This window comes from Homo sapiens, chromosome 10, assembly GCF_000001405.40.
Source record: "Homo sapiens chromosome 10, GRCh38.p14 Primary Assembly".
Taxonomy (NCBI): Eukaryota; Metazoa; Chordata; class Mammalia; order Primates; family Hominidae; genus Homo; species Homo sapiens.
Genome location: NC_000010.11, coordinates 119,180,038 through 119,199,108, shown reverse-complemented (window position 1 = coordinate 119,199,108; position 19,071 = coordinate 119,180,038). Strand labels below are relative to the sequence as shown.

Sequence of the window (19,071 nt, the reverse complement as noted above, 5' to 3'; positions counted from 1 at the left end):
AGAGGCAAGATCAAGGGTGCTCTACATGGTGTCCTCCCAAGTTAGCAGATCCTGCATCACAGGAGGGAGGAAGGAGTATTTCAAAGGAGAAAAACAGTCCCTAAGGAGGTCCGTATGGGGCTAAAAAGGTGATAGAATTTTTACCTCACATCCTGCTTTATGTTTGCCTTATCGGCATTGTAATTTTAATTTCTGTCTGTTATTTCTAAGGCTTCAGTTTAAAAGGACTGCCTGTCCTAGCTGGGATTGGAGAATTGAGAGAAAGGCATGTGATCCTCCCGGGACCCAGAGGTAAGTACAAGGAGAGCAGCAGCAGCCCAGAGAAGCCCCTGGAGCTAGGGCTGGAGGGGACCGGAGAAGCAGGTGTCTGCAGTGAGCTGGATACCTAAGGTGAAGAGCCTGCCCAGGATCCATATGAACAAAACGGAAAGTTTTCTTTGGGGTTCCCGAGAGGTCCCGAGAATGAATCTTGCTAGTCCGGGCAAGTAGGGGGCGCTGGTTGTTGGACTTTTGGATACCAACATTAGTAACTTTTTTGGTAGCTGCAATGAACTGAATATGTTCCCCCAAAATTCAGATTGAAATTCTAATCCCTAATGTGATGGTATTAGGAGGTGGGACCTTTGAGAGGGAATTAAGTCATGAATGTAGAGCCTTCATGAATGGGACTAGTGCTCTTATAAAAGGGACTTCAGAGAGCTCTTCCACCCTCTCCCCACCATGTGAAGATACAACAAGAAGTCAGCAGCGGGCAACCCAGAAGAGGGCCCTCATCAGAACCTCATCATGCTGGCTCCCTGATCTCAAACCTCCAGCCTCTAGAACTGCGTGAAAGAAATTTCTGTTGTTTGTAAGCCACCCAGTCTATGGAACTTGTTACAGTAGCCGGAACTAGGACAGTATCCCAGCATGTCGAAACAGAACCTGACAAAATAAGGTCGCATTGTTCAAACATGTGTGACTTCCTTCCTTTGACATTTATTGAGTGACTATTAAGTAGGAAGCATAGTTGGGCACCACAAAGATGAGTCAGACATGCAAGCCCTTTTTTAAACAGCTTGTAGGTGTTTAGGGCCAACAAGTTACACACACAAGAAGCCAGAATAGAAGACAGATCAACATGAGAAGTACAGACTGCTGTAAGAAGGGTATTTTAAACTGTTTGGATCCAGTGTTGGCAAAAATCTCCTAGAAATTGCTACCTTCACTCACTGTGGAGGGAGTATAAACTGGCACAGCCTTTCTTGAAGGTAGTTTGGCAATACATAACAAAAATCATAAAAACGCACCTAGGGCCCGGGCATGGTGGCTCACGCCTGTAATCCCAGCACTTTGGGAGGCCAAGGTGGGCAGATCACGAGGTCAGGAGTTCAAGACCAGCCTGACCGATATGGTGAAACCCTGTCTCTGCTAAAAATACAAAAATTAGCCAGGTGTGGTGGCACATGCCTGTAGTCCCAGCTGCTCAGGAGGCTGAGGCAGGAGAATCGCTTGAACCTGGGAGGCAGAGGTTGCAGTGAGCCAAGATAGCACCACTGCACTCCAGCCTGGGCAACAGAGCGAGACTCCGTCTCAAACAAACTAACAAACAACAACAACAACAAAAACACCTAGCCCTTAGTCATAGCAGTTCCAATTCTAGAAAAACACCCTAAAAAATTAGATAAGAACGTGTACAAAGATTTGGCTACAAGGATGTATACAGATTACATTATTGATTATAAAATGAAGAAAAAGTTGAAACAACACAAATTTCCAAGAATAACAGATTGGTTAAGTAAATTATGAAACAACACTTCAGTGGTATTCCTGCCAAAAATGTTTAACCCGAATCTAATCGGAGGAAATATCAGACCAACCAAATAGGAGATGTTCCACAAAAGAGCCAGACTCTGTTCCTCAAAAATGTCAAGGTCAAGAAACATAAAGAATGACTGAGGAACTGTTCCAGATTAAAAGAAACTAAAGAGGCCAGGCCCAGTGGCTCACACCTGTAGTCTCAGCACTTTGGGAGGCCAAGGCAGGCAGATCACTTGAACCCAAGAGATTGAGAACCAGCTGGGCAACGTGTTGAAACCCCATCTCTCCAAAAATACAAAAATTAGCTAGGCATGGTGGCACGTGCCTGTAGTCCCAGCTACGTAAGAGGCTGAGGTAGGAGGATTGCTTGAGCCCCAGAGGTGAAGGCTGCAGAGAGCTGTGATTGCACCACTGCACTCCAGCCTGGGTGAGAGAGCAGGACCTTGTCTCAAAAAAAAAAAAAAAAAACTAGAGAAAAGACCACTAAATATGCCATGTGTGATACTGCATTAGATCATGGTAGGGAGGTGAGTGGCTACTATGAAGGATATTGTTGGGACATTTGATTAAATTTGAATATGGACTGTGTATTAGATAACAGTATATCAATGTTAAAATTCCTGGTTTTGAGCATTGTAATAGTATTATCATATAAGAGAATATACTTGTTCTTAAAAAATACACTGTCAAATATTGTGGGGCTTTAAAAAGCAAATTAGGGCTGGGCGCAGTGGCTCACACCTGTAATCCCAGCACTTTGGGCGGCCGCAATCACCTCAGGTCAGGAGTTCATGATCAGCCTGGCCAACATGGCAAAACCTGTCTCTACTAAAAATACAAAAAAATTAGCCGGGCATGGTGGTGGGTGCCTGTAATCCGAGCTACTCGGGAGGCTGAGGCAGGAGAATTGCTTGAACCCAGGAGGCAGAGGTTGCAGTGAGCCAAGGTTGTGCCACTGCACTCCAGCCTTGGTGATAAAAGCGAAACTCTGTCTCAAAAAACAAAAAAAGTGAATTAGTTATTTAATCTGCAAACTAGGATAGGCATCAAAGATTTTGAAGAAACAAACCATGATTTAAAAATAGTTCGGCCAGGCACGGTGCCTCACACCTCTAATCCCAGCACTTTGGGAGGCCGAGGTGGGCAGATCACCTGAGGTCAGGAGTTCAAGACCAGCCTGACAAACATGGCAAAACCCCATCTCTATTAAAAATACAAAATTAGCCGGGTGTGGTAGTGCATGCCTGTAATCCCAGCTACTCGGGAGGCTGAGGCAGGAGAATCACTTGAACCTGGGAGGCAGAGTTTGCAGCGAGCTGAAATCGTGCCATTGTACCCCAGCCTGGGCAACAGAGCAAGACTCCATCTCAAAAAAAAATTTATATATATATATAGTTCAAGGCAACAGTAGTTTTGTGATAAAACACAGAGGATTAACCACCAAAAGAATGATGTTGATGATAATTGCCACAGGCATTCAGGGAAAGGATGTGTCAGCTGGGGGTGTCAGAAGTGGCTGCACAGTGAGAGTTTAGCTGGGCCTTCCACCAGATTCATCTGAATTTTCTAGGAGTCTGCCATGTGCCAAGCACTGTGCTAAGTGCTGGAGATATAGCAGTGAGCAAGATGGGCATGATCCTTGCCCTGTCAGGCTTCTGTTCTAGGGAGGAACCCAACCAATACCCAGTAAATAGATAAAGTAATTGCAATTTTAAGTTTCCAGTAAAAGGAAACAAGGGCCAAGACAGAGACATTCACAGTCATTGGGGAAGTCTTCTTGGGGAGGATGCCATCAAAGCCAGGAACTAAATAATCAAGAAGAGCTAGTCAGGTATGTGTGGAGGGTAACAGCACGTCAATCAAGAGGACCGCATGTGCCCAGGTGAGGGGTAGCTTTTGGGGAGGTGGAAGTAGACCAGTATGGCTAACACAGGGATGGGGTCCAGAGGAGCCCAAAAGGAGATGTCTGAAAGGAGGCAGGCATGCAGACCTGCAGGGGCACAAGCCACATAGAGCCTTGTACAAATTTGTGTTTTCCTCTAATGAGATGGAAAGCCACGGAAGAGCTTTAAGTACGAGATGAAACAGTGGTTGGTGTTTTAAGAAGCATCACTGTTGATGCTGGGCAGAGAATGGACTGAAAGGAGGCAAGAGTGAGAGCGAGAGGCCAGTTAAAAGCAGGCGGGGGGAAAGGGAAGCTGTCAGACAGGGGCAGTCCTCATGCTTGGACTTTTGCAATGTTCCCAGATAAAGTTCCACATACCGTTACAGAGAGAGACTGATGAGACTGAAAAAGACCATCCCACACCTGTTAGTCTGGTTCTCATGGTGAGTGCTCCTGGCCTGAATAAATATTTCCACCTAAGTCCTATAATCAGCCTGTGGGGAGCATTTCGTATTACAGTTTTTGTTGTGCTCTGTCTTAGTGTGGGTGTCCCTAAACCTGGAGATAAGGATTCAAATGCAAGTAGCTTATTTGGGAATGGAGATAAGGGAGGGGATCTAACACAGGGAAGGCAGCCAGCGAAGGGTGTGTTAAGTTACCTTCATGGTGACTAGGACTGGATCTGTGGGAAGACCCTGGGAGGTAAATGCCCCAGATAGTCCATTCAAGAGGTGAGGGAGCTGGGGTATTTCTACACGAATTCCCTCCACCCAGCCATTGCTGAGGGCTGCAGGCAGCGGTATAAATTCCCAAGCACCCCTGTCTTTCCTCAGGGGTGGGTAGACCAGGTTTCTGCAATTATGCAGAAAGACCCCCACACAAAGATGCAAATCCTGGCAGCTGGAAATCTCTGGAGCCCAAAGAAGTGGCAGGGTCTGAGGATACCAGAGAGATGTGAAAGCTATACTCTGTGTGGTTGTTGTTTCACTTTTAAAATAGACCTCTGCCATATGGTGGCTCACGCCTATAATCCCAGAACGATGGGAGGCTAAGGCAGGAGGATCGTTTGATGTCAGGAGTTCAAGACCAGCCTAGGCAACAGAGTGAAACCCCTGTCTCTACAAAAAAATATTTTTTTAATTAGCTGGGTGTGGTGGTGCACACCTGTAGTCCTAGCTACTCGGGAGGCTGAGGCCGGAGGATCCTTTGAGCCCAGGAGTTTGAGGCTGCAGTGAGCCATGATTGTGCCATTGCACTTCAGCCTGGGTGACAGAGTGAGGACCTATCTCAACAAATAATAATAATATAATATAATAGACCTCACATGATGGAAGTAATCTTGCCTCTTGATAGCCAGGAGACCTTCAGAAGCTGTGAACGAGTTGCATGAGAAAAACGATGGTGGCCTGGACTGAGGTGGAGGCAAATGTAGGTGGAGACAAGACAGCGTCTCCTTTGGGTGCTGCTGGCCAGCAGTGGGGAGGGAAAGGTGGGAACTGTAGGGGATGAAAGACATTTTTTTCTCATCCATCTCTAGATTCTCTAAATTCTGAGACCCTCTATAACCACAGACGGAGTAACAAGAGAAAAGCATACACATTTATTGAATATATTGTACGCAGCATGGAAGCATCCACAGGTGAAGACCCAAAGGAACAGGGAACCCCGTGTCTTTTCATGCTTAGTTTTGATGGAGTGGACAGTCATGCAGCAGTATGACTGGACAAAGGGGATGTGATCTAATGGCAATAAACTGAGGGAACTTAGCAAGGCCTGTTTGTTCATATTCCTCTCTGTATCCCTGTGTCTCCAGACATAAGGACATTCCTCTCCTCTGGGTACAGGCTGGGCACCCCTGGAATGAGGGCCTTCTTCAGAGGAAGGTCAGATGATTCTTTCATGGTCTGCTTCAGGGGAGAAGGGCAGGAGGAGGTCAGAAAGTGACCTTCCTGCTTTCGCTGTTTTCCAAATGCCATGGTGCTATATTTTGGGATATGGTGTTCTGAACCCCATCAGAATCAAGATGACTCCTACTTTCTGGCTTGAATGATTGTATGGACTGTGAGGCCATGTACTGACCTGAGGAGGTTTGGGGAAGTCAGTGGCGGGGAACAGATTTGAAGAAAGCAAGAGCTTGAGGTGCATAAGAGGCATCTGCGTGGAGATGTTGGCAGGCGGCACTCAGAGGACAGGCCTGGGCTGGAGACACAGCTCTAAAAGATGACAGGCTGCCAGAAGTTGGAGGAGAAAGAGGGATAAATGGGCAAAGTACAGAGGATATTTAGGGCAGTGAAGGTATTCCATATGATAATATTACGGTGGATACATGTCCTTATACATTTGTCAAAACCCATAGAATGTACAACACCAAGAGTGAACCTGAGTTTAAACTTGGACTTTGAGAGATAATGGCACATCATTGTAGAGTCACCAAGTGTAACAAATCTACCATTGCAGTTTGGGATGCTCATAGTGGGAGAAGCTGAGAATAGGGGCTATGGGAGATCTCTCTGTACTTTGCTCAATTTGCTGTGAACCTAACACTGTTCTAAAATATAAAGTTTGGCAGGGTGCAGTGGCTCTCACCTATAATCTCTGCACTTTGAGAGGCCAAGGCAGGTGGATCACCTGAGGTCAGGAGTTTGAGACCAGTCTGGCCAACATGATGAAACTCCGTCTCTACTAAAAATACAAAAATTAGCTGGGCATGGTGGCATGGACCTGTAGTCCCAGCTACTTGGGAGGCTGAGGCAGAAGAATTGCTTGAACCCACAAGGCTGAGGTTGCAGTGAGCCAAGATCGTGCCACTGCACTCCAGCCTGGCAAGAGAGTGAGACTCTGTCTCAAAAAATAAATAAATAAATAAAGTCTTTTTAAAAGGGTGGAGGCCGGGCACAGCGGCTCACGCCTGTAATCCCAGAACTTTGGGAAGTCGAGGCGGGCGGATCACCTGAAGTCAGGAGTTCAAGACCAATCTGGCTAACATGGTAAAACCCTGTTTCTACTAAAAATACAAAAAATTAGCCAGGCACGGTGGCAGACACCTGTAATCCCAGCTACTCGGGAGGCTGAGGCAGGAGAATCACTTGAACCCAGGAGGCAGAGGTTGCAGTGAGCCGAGATCGTGCCATTGCACTCCAGCTTGGGCAACAAGAGTGAAACTCCGTCTCAAAAAAAAAAAAAAAATGGTGGAGGGAATGGGCTGCAAGGAGGAGAACAGCTCAGAAGTAAGCAAGCCAAGGTGTGCCTGGGGGTGGGCAGAGAGGGGGATGACTCAGCCTAAGAAATTCACCCGAGGCCTAGTGGGTGGCACACACTTCCCAATCAGCCTGTGAGTGAGGGTTTATACAGAGACAGACTGAAAGGTGAACGAATCCATGGGGCTTTGAATCAAGGACAACTCAACTCCTTCCAATCCTGGGCTGCCTGCCTTTGACATTAACTTGGAACAGCACAAGACCATGCTGGAGCATGCTGGGGGTAAGTTTAGAAGGGAAGCCTTGGCCGGGTGTGGTGGTTCACACCTGTAATTCCAGCACTTTGGGAGGCTGAGGCAGGAGGATTGCTTGAGCCCATGAGTGTGAGGCCAGCATGGGCAATAGAGAGAGATCTTATCTCTAAAAAAAAAATTTTAAATTAGCCACGCATGGTGTTGTGCACCTGTAGTCTCAGCTGCTCAGGAGGTTGAGGCAGGGGGATCACTTAAGCCTGGGAGGTTGAGGCTGCAGTGAGCTATGATTGCACCACCGCACTCCAGCCTGTGTGACAGAATAAGACTCAAAAAATAAAAATTAAAAATTGAAAAAAAGAGGACTTGGCTGGGAGACAGGGCTTGGTTCCGAGACTTCATCTTTTCTGAACCCAGGAGAGAGCCAAATCTGGGGCTCCTCTTCAATGAGGGAAAAAAAGGAAGAAAAAAAAATGTATGTTTTTTGCTGTGGAAAGAGGAAGAACTCAGCAAAACCCAGAGTCCTGCTTGCCATCTCTAATTGCAGCCCCAGCTACCAGAAAGTTAACTTGTGGTTCCAGGGGCGTATTTTCCTAATCATCATAAAAATGAGCATATATCTTTTCATTTGCCTCCCCCTCAACTAGGTCCAATTTTTTTCCCTCCCAAACTGAAAAGGGAGAATTTCAGTCATTTTCTACTCTTTTACTCATGAGAATAAGGCCAGTTCATCTCTTTCCCTTTCTTTCCTTCTTTCTTTCTTTTTTTCTTTCTTTCTTTCTTTTTCTTTCTCTTTCTCTTTCCTTTCCTTCTTTTTCTTTCTTTCTTTCTTTCTTTCCTTCCTTCCTTCCTTCTTTCTCTCTCTCTCACTCTCTCTCTCCTTCCTTCCTTTCTTTTTCTTTCTTTTTTTTTGTTATCTTTTTTGTTGTGGTGGTTGTTGTCTCTTTCTTTCCGGGGAAAAATGTGTGTTATTGTTGCAATAGCTAGAGAAAGCTGAATAAATTTTTTTTCTTTTTTCTTTTTTTCTGAAATGGAGTCTCACCCTGTAGCCCAGGCTAGAATGGAGTGACGTGATCTCGACTCACTGCAACCTCCGCCTTCCGGGTTCAATTGATTCTCCTGCCTCAGCCTCTCCAGTAGCTGGGATTACAGACATGTATCACCACACTTGGCTAATTTTTGTATTTTTTGTGGAGACAGAGTTTCACCATGTTGGCCAGGCTGGTCTCGAACTCCTGACCTCAAGTGATCCACCCATCTCAGTCTGCTAAAGTGCTGGGATTACAGGTGTGAGCCACCGCGCCCAGCCAAAAGATAGTTTTTTTTTCAGAATGTGTGTAGAAATCCTGCCAGCACTGCTTATTGACTCACTTGACAAACTTGCTCTGGGTAGTTGCTGCAAGCCAGGGATTAGCTGAGCCTTGGGATTCCAGGGATGAGTAAGACATGAGCTCTATCCTCAAGAGGTGCACAGTATTGTTAAGACCCAGACAAGGCAATAGAAAATTCCAATGCCATGTGACAGGAGCTGGGAGCGCTGAGAATGAGAAGGGCATGGTGTTTTCTAGGAACCTGGTAGGGGTCTCTAACCAGGACAAGCTAGGAAAGTGGTCAGGGAATGCTTGGCAAAACAGCTGCTCCTTCCTCCTAAGGCTTATATTGGTGATCAAAAATCAATCATGGTTATCTTTTGTTGGAATGAACAAAAGGGGGACTCTACTAGTCCTACCAGGGGAAGTCAGTTGCCACAGCCTGAGACTAGCTGGACACTTTGCAGATCTTAACAGGCCATTGGGAGGCTCTTGCATGAAATTCCTTCTGGGCCTCTGGGTCAGAGATTCTAGGGTATTTCATTTCTTTGGCAGAGATCAGCAGACCAGAAGGCCTACATGTACACTGGAAAGCCCCCAACCCAGGAATCCCTGTACGACTTGAGGTAAACTATTTAACCACAGGCAACTGCCTCAGCTTCCTGTTTGGTCAAGAAGTGATAAGCAGTGAAACTTCATCTCCAATGGCCAAAAGCCCTGGGAATTGTGCTGCTGTGCGCGGCCTCTCTGCCTGGTGTGAAGCAAACAGTAATGCTTTGTTGAGCTTGCCTGAAATGCCCATGTGAAGAATGACTGTTGAATGCTTGAGATTTATGGAGATAAAAATTACAAAATGTCTTAGCTTGATTTACATTGACGGAAAAAGCAAAAAAGATACCTATAAGGCAGTGCATTTTTAAGATGAAAATTAAACCATACATTAAACAGAAAATATTTAAAATGTGAGGCACAAGTTAATACAGTGGAAGTTAACTCTTTCTCCATCTGACAAAGAGAACTTTTTTCAAAATCGGACCAAGCTGTTGGACACCCAGGCTGGAGTGTGATGGTGTGATCTCGGCTCACTGCAACCAGGGCCTCCCAGGTTCAAGTGATTCTCCTGTCTCAGACTCCCAAGTAGCTGCAATTACAGGTGCCCACCACCACACCCGGCTAATTTTTTTGTATTTTTAGTACAGAGAGGGTTTCACCATATTGGCCAGGCAGGTCTTGAACTCCTGACCTCAGGTGATCCGCCTGCCTCTGCCTCCCAAAGTGCTGGGATTACAGATGTGAGCAACCATGCCTGGCCAAGATGTCTTTCTAATCATAGCTAAAGTCCATCTCAGGTAGATGGGGATTTGATAGGTGTCTGACCATTGTGGTCACCCTTATTCCTCATAGTTAGCTTGCTTTATTTATTTATTTATTTTTTGAGACACCATGTCACTCTGTTACCCAGGCCCTTATTCCTTATAGTTACCTTTATTTATTTATTTATTTTTGAAACAGCGTATCACTCTGTCACCCAGGCTGGGGTGCCGTGGTGCAAACATAGCTCACTGCAATCTTAACCTCCTGGGCTAAAGCAATCCTCCCACCTCAGCCTCCCGAGTAGCTGGGACTACAGGCATGCACCATCATGCCCAACTAATTTTTGTATTTTTTTTTGTAGAGACAGGGTCTCGCCATGTTTCTAGGCTAGTCTTGAACTCCTGACTTCAAGTGATCCACCTGTCTCGACCTCCCAAAGTGCTGGGATTACAGGTGTGAGCCACCGAGCCCTGCCCATAGTTAGCTTTAAAAGAAAAAACTGGGCTGGGTGTGGTGGCTCATGCCTATAATCCCAGCATTTTGGGAGGTAGAGGCAGGTGGATCACGAGGTCAGGAGTTTGAGACTAGCCTGGCCAATATGGTGAAACCCCGTCTCTACTAAAAATACAAAAATTAGCCGGGTGTGGTGGCGCATGCCTGTAACTCCAGTTGCTCGAGAGGCTGAGGCAGGAGAATCCCTTCAACATGGGAGGTGGAGGTTGCAGTGAGCCAAGATGGCGCCACTGTACTCCAGCCTAGGTGACAGAGTGAGACTCCATCTCAAAAAAAAAAAAAAAAGATAAGATAAAAGAAAAAACTGGCAAGGTTTCCTGAGTCAAAGCACAGCCCAGACCCAGCAGGTGCCTCAAGGCAGAAGAGGTTAAGCTGCCCTGAACAGGTAGATTCCCAGTACCTTTCTTTCCTTGCCTGCATGTCCCTGTGGCTTCCAGAAGAGCCTAATTTGAGCCTGTTTGGGGATCAGCGTTTGCACAAATTCCTCACCCCTCACTCCTGAATGAAAGGAGGAAAAGGGCTGGGCATGGTGGCTCACGCCTGTAATCCCAGCACTTTGGGAGGCCGAGATCGGCAGATCAATTGAGGTCAGGAGTTGACCTGGCCAACATGGTAAAACCCCATCTCTACTAAAACAAACAAACAAAACAAAACAAAACAAAACAAAAAAACCTGGCATGGTGGCACGTGATTGTAATCCTAGCTACTCGAGACACTGAGGCACAAGAATTGCTTGAACTTGGGAGGCAGAGGTTGCAGTGAGCTGAGATCATGCCACTGCATTCCAGCCTGGACGACAGAACAAGACTCTGTTTAAAAAAAAAAAAAAGAAAGAAAGAAAGGAAAATGAACTTCATCACTTTGAGAAAAAATAAAATGTCTTCAGAGCCTGTGCCAGTTGTTTGAAAATGTAGTATGTCTGCTTGTGGGGAAAAGAATAACTTATTTATACCACTTTCTCTGTATCTAGCACCCCACTACATCTTTTGCAGGCATTATCTCACTGTGCATGGCTGAAGCGGTAGATGCCATCATTACCCTCATTTCACACCTGCAGAAACTGAGGTATAGAAACATTAACTGGTCTAGTCACGAGGGATTCTGTGATGCCTGAGACATATGACCTGCCCTCCAAGACCATAAGTGACAGACCAAGAATTTGATCCCATGTCCTGGTGGCCCCACAGCCTGTGCCATTACCATTAGAGCAGTGGTTTCCTCTGGGGGTTCTCTTGTCCCCAGGGGACATTTGGCAACATCTGGAAACATTTTTCGTTGTCACAAATAAGTGGGTGCCTTCCTTTCACAAGCTTGGCAGGAAGACAGGAACAGACAGACCCCAGAGAAGGAAAGGAAGGCTGAGAGTCGCCCGAACACAGTGGCTCATACCTGTAATCCCAGCACTTTGGGAGGCCAAGGCGGGCAGATCATTTGAAGTCAAGAGTTCAAGACCAGCCTGGCCATGTGCTGAAACACATTGAAAACCCTGTCTTTACTAAAAATACAAAAAAATTTGCCAGGCGTGGTGGCGGGCACTGTTATCCCAGCTACGCAGGAGGCTGAAGCAGGAGAATTGCTTGAACCTGGGAGACAGAAGTTGCAGTGAGCCGAGATGGTACCACTGCACTCCAGCCTGGGTGACAGAGTGAGACTCCGTCAGAAAAAAAAAAAGAAGGCTGAGAGTAGAGTGGGCCCCAAGGTGGTGAACATCAATTGCAGGGGCGGAACCTATTAGAAATGCTTAGGCAAAAGAGCACAGCGTACCGCATCAATGGACAGAATCCACAGTGAGGCCTGGTGCCTGGGAGTGGAGTACTTGAGATATTTCACTAAAGGACAGATGGTCAGTGCTCCTTCATGTCCTCACACAGCCCACATTTATAGTACCATCTCCTATTATGTCCCATCAAGCACATTATGCTCCAACAAATACTGTAGGAGGTCATACAATATTGCTTTAAGAGTTGGGGCACTTGGCCAGGCACGGTGGCTCACGCCTGTAATACCAGCACTTTGGGAGTCCAAGGTGAGTGGATCACGAGGTCAGGAGATGGAGACCATCCTGGCTAACACGGTGAAACCCCATCTCTACTAAAAATACAAAAAAATTAGCCAGGTGTGGTGGCGGGCGCCTGTAGTCCCAGCTACTCGGGAGGCTGAGGCAGGAGAATGGCGTGAACCCGGGAGGCGGAGCTTGCAGTGAGCTGAGATTGCGCCACCGCACTCCAGCCTGGGCGACAGGGCGAGACTCCATCTCAAAAAAAAAAAAAAAAAAAGAGTTGGGGCTCTGGCCTCACACCGGTAATCCCAACATTTTGGGAGGCCAAGGCAGGAGGACTGCTTGAGCCCAGGAGTTTGAGACCAACCTAGACAACATAGGAAGACCCTTCTCTACAAAAACTAACAAAATTAGCTGGGCTTGGTGATACACACTTGTGGTCCCAGCTCCTTGGGAGGCTGAGGTGGGAGGATTGTTTGAGCCCAGGAGGTTGAGGCTGCAGTGAGCCATGGTTGTGCCATTGCACTCCAGCCTGGATGACAGAGAGAGACCCTGTCTCAAAAACAAACAAACAAACAAAAAACAATAAAAATGAAAAGGAATGGGGGCTCTGCAGTCAGCTTTCAAGGTTTAAATCCTGGCTCCTTCCCTTTCCAGTTGTGGGACTTTGGACAAATTACTAAACCTTCCCAAGCATCAGTCTCCTCACCTTGGAAATGGGGATGATGAATTAAAAACAGTACCTGTGGCTGGGTGTGATGGCTCACACCTGTAATCCCTACACCTGGGGAGGCCGAGGCAGGCGGATCACTTGAGGTCAGGAGTTCGAGACCAACCTGGCCAACATGATGAAACCCCATCTCTACTAAAAATACAAAAATTAGCCAGGTGTGGTGGTGTGCACCTGTAATCCCAGCTACTTGGGAGGCTGAGGCAGGAGAATCACTTGAACCCAGGAGTGGAGTTTGCTGTGAGCTGAGATCATGCCATTGCACTTCAGCCTGAGTGACAGAGCAAGACTCTAAAACAAAACAAAACAAAACAAAACAAAAAACAAACCGAAAAAGCACCTGTGTCATAGGGTTGTGCAGACGGAATAGAGATACTGCATTCAACCCAGAGCGTAGCCCCATAGTGTGGTCACTGAAGATAACAGTAAACCAAAGGGACAAAGGTCACTAGTCACTTCCACCTGCCATCTTCCCCTTCACCTTCCCCAAGCAGCAGGATAGATGATTTCTCTGTGAAGCCCTTCTTGGCCCCTTTCTCTAAACCATGATAGCACTTCACTTGCACCTCTCTTTTATTTAATATAACGAACACTATGTGCCTGCTGACTGTGCTAATGCCTTTAAAATATGAACTCATTTATTCCTCACAAAAGCCCTTGGGGTAAGCACTAACATCATTTCAATTTTACAGATGGGAAAATGTGCTAAGTAACTTGCCCAAGGCCACGTGCCTGCAGCTAGCAGAGCTGGTGTGTCAATCTCAGCTGTCCACACTCAACCATTATGCCTCTTTCATGCCTCTTAAAATGCTGAATCTTGGACTGGGTTTTTTTTTTAATGATTTTATCAGTATTCCTTGGATACACACACAGTTCCTCGGCAGCAGGGTCTAAGTGATCCTCTCCAGTACATGTTTATTAATGATTAAAATCACATTGTTGGCTAGGGACGGTGGCTCATGCCTGTAATCCCAGCACTTTGGGAGGCCGAGGCGAGAGGATCACTTGAGGTCCGGAGTCCAAGACCAGCCTGGCCAACATGGCAAAACCTGGTCTCTACTAAAAATACAAAAATTAGCTAGTTGTGGTTGTGGGCACCTGTAATCCCAGCTACTCAGGAGGCTGAGGCAGAAGAATCTCTTGAACCCAGGAGGCAGAGGTTGCAGTGAGCCGAGATTGCACCACTGCACTCCAGCCTGGGCAACACAGCAAGATTCTAAAAAAAAAAAATCACATTGTTAATTGATCCAATACCAGAGGGCTCTCTATTTGGTACCTAATAGGACAGGAAACAGATTACTTCAGAGGCTAAAATGGGCAGGAATCATGCAGGAAATCTAACTGAAGGCAGCCGCAGGTGAATGGGGCTACATGGAAGACGGAAAGTAATGTTACCTTGAAGCAGCCAGGCACGGTGGCTCACACCTGTAATCCCAGCACTTTGGGAGGCCGAAGCGGGCCGATCACCTGCGGGCCAATCACCTGAGGTCAGGAGTTCGAGACCAGCCTGACCAACATGGCAAAACCCCATCTCCGCTAAAAACACAAAATTAGCTGGGCGTGGTGGTGCATGCCTGTAATCCCAGCTACTCAGGAGGCTGAGGTAGGAGAATCACTTGAACCTGGGAGGCAGAGGTTGCAGTGAGCCGAGATCGCACCATTGCACTTTAGCCTGGGCAACAAGAGCAAAACTCCGTCTCAAAAAAAAAAAAAAAAAAGAATTGCTTTCAGAGCCAATTATGAGGCCCTCAAGTAATGTTACCTTGAAGCCTAACCCTGCCTATGAGCTGGCACTAACTAATGCATCTGAGCTTTAAAACTGAAACCAGGATGAGTGAGGTGAAATTCTAAGGGAACTCCACTCTGCTCTGTCGCTTTGACTTGCACCATGCTTTACATTTTTATAGTGAAGTTTAGTTATGAGCCAAACTGCCTGTGTGCAGGAACTAAAAAACACACGCCTACAATAGGAGAGCAAGAGGCCCTCCAGCATGGGGAAGGGAGAGGTGGGCGGCAAAGGGCTGTGGGCATAAGGAGAAGAGAAGGCGACCCCTTGGCTTGGCTTTGCCCCCCTCCCCCCTCCCCTTTTGTTGACTTGAGCTACTGAAGCTTAAGTACTTTAAAACTGCAGGCTGTTGTGACAGTGGCTCATACCTGTAATCCCAGCACTTTGGGAGCTGGAGGATCACTTGAGGTCAGGAGTTCAAGGCCAGCCTGGGCAAGATAGCGAGACCTTGTTTCTACCAAAAAAACAACCCTGTAGTATGAGGGAGAAGAGGAGACGATGAGGGTGTGGATGACGTAATCTCACGAGTTGGCTGGGGAAAAGGTGCTGAGGCTGAACTCCATCAGACACACACGCTGGGTGGTCAGTGGTATGGAATTTCTGGGTTCTTGCCCTACCTCTCTGCTTCTAGCCAGTGATGTGATTTTGGGAAGGTCTCTCCATCTCCAAAAGGCTCAGTTTTCTGAGCCTTTTAGATCTATTAAATCACTGGAGTAGACTACAGTATATAATGTTTTTAGTCCCTATTTCTTCTACATTTTCTCTCTCTCTTTTTTTTTTCTTTTCCTTTTTCTTTTTCTTTCTTTTTTTTTTTTTTTTTTTTTGAGACAGGGTTTTGCTATGTTGCCCAGGCTGGTCTCAAACCCCTGGGCACAAAGTGATCCTCCTACCTTGGCTTTCCAAAGCGCTGCAATTACAGGCATGAGCCACCATGCCTGGCCTTTTTCTAATTTTTTTTTTAATTGAGGTGAAATTCACCAAATATAAAATTAATTATTTTAAAGTTTACAATTCGGGGTATTTAGTTAATTCATAATGTTATACCCACCTCTATCTAGTTCCAAAACATTTTCATCACCACAAAAGAAAATCCTGGACTTCCCTCTCCCTCTCCCTCTCCCTACTCTCCCTCTCCCCACGGTCTCCCTCTGATGCCGAGCCGAAGCTGGACGGTACTGCTGCCATCTCGGCTCACTGCAACCTCCCTGCCTGATTCTCCTGCCTCAGCCTGCCGAGTGCCTGCGATTGCAGGCGCGCCGCCACGCCTGACTGGTTTTCGTATTTTTTTGGTGGAGATGGGGTTTCGCTGTGTTGGCTGGGCTGGCCTCCAGCTCCTAACCGCGAGTGATCCGCCAGCCTCGGCCTCCGGAGGTGCCGGGATTGCAGACGGTGTCTGGTTCACTCAGTGCTCAATGGTGCCCAGGCTGGAGTGCAGTGGCGTGATCTCGGCTCGCTACAACCTCCACCTCCCAGCCGCCTGCCTTGGCCTCCCAAAGTGCCCAGAGTGCAGCCTCTGCCCGGCCGCCACCCCGTCTAGGAAGTGAGGAGCGTCTCTGCCTGGCCGCCCATCATCTGGGATGTGAGGAGCCCCTCTGCCTGGCTGCCCAGTCTGGAAAGTGAGGAGCGTCTCTGCCCGGCCGCCATCCCATCTAGGAAGTGAGGAGCGCCTCTTCCCGGCCGCCATCCCATCTAGGAAGTGAGGAGCGTCTCTGCCCGGCCGCCCATCGTCTGAGATGTGGGGAGTGCCTTTGCCCCACCGCCCCGTCTGGGATGTGAGGAGTGCCTCTGCCCGGTCGCGACCCCGTCTGGGAGGTGAGGAGCGTCTCTGCCCAGCCACCCCATCTGAGAAGGGAGGAGACCCTCCGCCTGGCAACCGCCCCGTCTGAGAAGTGAGGAGACCCTCTGCCCGGCAGCCGCCCCGTCTGAGAAGTGAGGAGCGTCTCCGCCCGGCAGCCGCCCTGTCCGGGAGGGAGGTGGGGGGTCAGCCCCCCACCCGGCCAGCCGCCCCGTCCGGGAGGTGAGGGGCGCCTCTGCCCAGCTGCCCCTACTGGGAAGTGAGGAGCCCCTCTGCCCGGCCAGCCGCTCCGTCCGGGAGGGAGGTGGGGGGTTCAGCCCCCCCGCCCGGCCAGCTGCCCCGTCCGGGAGGGAGGTGGGGGGTCAGCCCCCCGCCCGGCCAGCCGCCCCATCTGGGAGGTGAGGGGCGCCTCTGCCCGGCCGCCCCTACTGGGAAGTGAGGAGCCCCTCTGCCCGGCCAGCCGCCCCTTCCGGGAGGGAGGTGGGAGGGTCAGCCCCCCACCTGGCCAGTCGCCCAGTCCGGGAGGGAGGTGGGGGGGGGTCAGCCCCCCGCCCGGCCAGCCGCCCCGTCCGGGAGGGAGGTGGGGGGGGTCAGCCCCCCGCCCAGCCAGCCGCCTCGTCCGGGAGGTGAGGGGCGCCTCTGCCCGGCTGCCCCTACTGGGAAGTGAGGAGCCCCTCTGCCCGGCCACCACCCCGTCTGGGAGGTGTGCCCAACAGCTCATTGAGAACGGGCCACGATGACAATGGTGGTTTTGTGGAATAGAAAGCGGGGAAAGGTGGGGAAAAGATTGAGAAATCGGATGGTTGCCGTGTCTGTGTGGAAAGAAGTACACATGGGAGAATTTTCATTTTGTTCTGTACTAAGAAAGATTCTTCTGCCTTGGGATCCTGTTGATCTGTGACCTTACCCCCCAACCCTGTGCTCTCTGAAACATGTGCTGTGTCCACTCAGGGTTAAATGGATTAAGGGCGGTGCAAGATGTGCTTTGTTAAACAGATGCTTGAAGGCAGCATGCTCGTTAAGAGTCATCACCACTCCCTAATCTCAAGTACCCAGGGACACAAACACTGCAGAAGGCCTCAGGGTCCTCTGCCTAGGAAAACCAGAGACCTTTGTTTACTTGTTTATCTGCTGACCTTCCCTCCACTATTGTCCTATGACCCTGCCAAATCCCTCTCTGTGAGAAACACCCAAGAATGATCAATAAAAATAAAATTAAAAAAAAAAAAAAAAGAAAATCCTGTACCTACTAAATAGTTCCGGCTGGGCGCACTGGCTCACACCTGTAATCCCAGCGCTGTGGGAGGCCAAGGCAGGCAGATCACTTGAGGTCAAGAGTTCGAGATCAGCCTGGCCAACATGGCGAAACTCCGTCTCTACTAAAAAATACAAAAAAAAATTAGCTGGGCATGGTGGTCACACCTGTAGTCCCAGCTACTCGGGAGACTGAGGCAGGAGGATTGCTTGAATCTGGGAGGCAGAGGTTGCAGTGAGCTGAGGTTGCAGTGAGCTGAGATTGCATCACTGTACTCCATCCTGGGCAACAGAGGGAGACTCTGTCTCAAAAATAAATAAATAAAATAAAAAATAAATAGTCAGTCCCCATGCCAGCTTCTCCCAGTCCCTAACAATTGCTGATTTGCTTTCTGTCCCTTTGGAATTACCTATTTTAGATGTTTCATATAAAAGGAAACACACACTATTTGTTCTTTTGTGTCTGGCTTCTTTCACTTAGCTAGTGTTTTCAAAGTTCATCTGTGTTGTAGCATATATCAGTATTTCATTCCTTTTATGGATAAATAATATTCCATTGTGAACTACAGTATTTTTTTTTTTTTTTTTGAGACGGAGTTTCAATCTTGTTGCTGAGGCTGGAGTGCACTGGTTCAATTTCGGCTCACTGCAACCTCTGCCTCCCAGGTTAAAGTGATTCTCCTGCCTCAGCCTCCCAAGTGGCTGAGATTACAGGTATGCACCACCATGCCCAGCTAATTTTGCAATTTTTAGTAGAGAAAGGGTTTCACCATGTTGGTCAGGCTGGTCTTGAACTCCTTACCTCAGGTGATCCACTCACCTCAGCTTCCCAAAGTGCTGGGATTACAGATGTGAGCCACTGCGCCCGGCCTACAGTACGATTTTGAGCTCCAAAATGATTGTCTCCTTTTCAATCATCTGCTAAACACAGACATAATTAAAACCAATTAAACAAACACAAGGAAGGTGTGAGGTGAAATAGTCGAAACGTGTGTCCCCACACATCCAAGGCAGTCCTTTCCACATCTGGGGACTGGTACCCAGGGTGGCGCCTAGTGGTACCTGAGATGATTTTAGAAAATATACTGGGCTGGGTGTGGTGGCTCACGCCTGTAATCCCAGCACTTTGGGAGGCCAAGGTGGGAGGATCACCTGATGTCAGGAGTTCAAGACCAGCCTAGCCAATATGGTGAAACCCCATCTCTACTAAAAATACTAAAAAAATTAGCCGGGTTTA

The 19,071-nt window shown here is 48.1% G+C and overlaps 3 annotated features.

Annotated features, from left to right (window-relative positions):
- Positions 8,958 to 9,252: an enhancer, noted in NCBI's record as "tiled region #12134; K562 Activating DNase matched - State 5:Enh". NCBI's record gives its function as "activates a minimal TATA promoter and a strong SV40 promoter by Sharpr-MPRA in K562 cells {active_cell/tissue: K562}" and the evidence as "EXISTENCE:reporter gene assay evidence [ECO:0000049][PMID:27701403]".
- Positions 9,438 to 9,607: an enhancer, noted in NCBI's record as "experimental_10037 CRE fragment used in MPRA reporter constructs". NCBI's record gives its function as "activates a minimal promoter by MPRAs in K562 erythroleukemia cells, with activity observed for both the introgressed and non-introgressed 10:120949099 variant alleles {active_cell/tissue: K562}" and the evidence as "EXISTENCE:reporter gene assay evidence [ECO:0000049][PMID:34662402]".
- Positions 15,491 to 16,236: an enhancer, noted in NCBI's record as "H3K27ac hESC enhancer chr10:120942385-120943130 (GRCh37/hg19 assembly coordinates)". NCBI's record gives its function as "activates a minimal SCP1, AML or CMV promoter by ChIP-STARR-seq in naive H9 embryonic stem cells {active_cell/tissue: H9 hESC(naive)}" and the evidence as "EXISTENCE:reporter gene assay evidence [ECO:0000049][PMID:30033119]".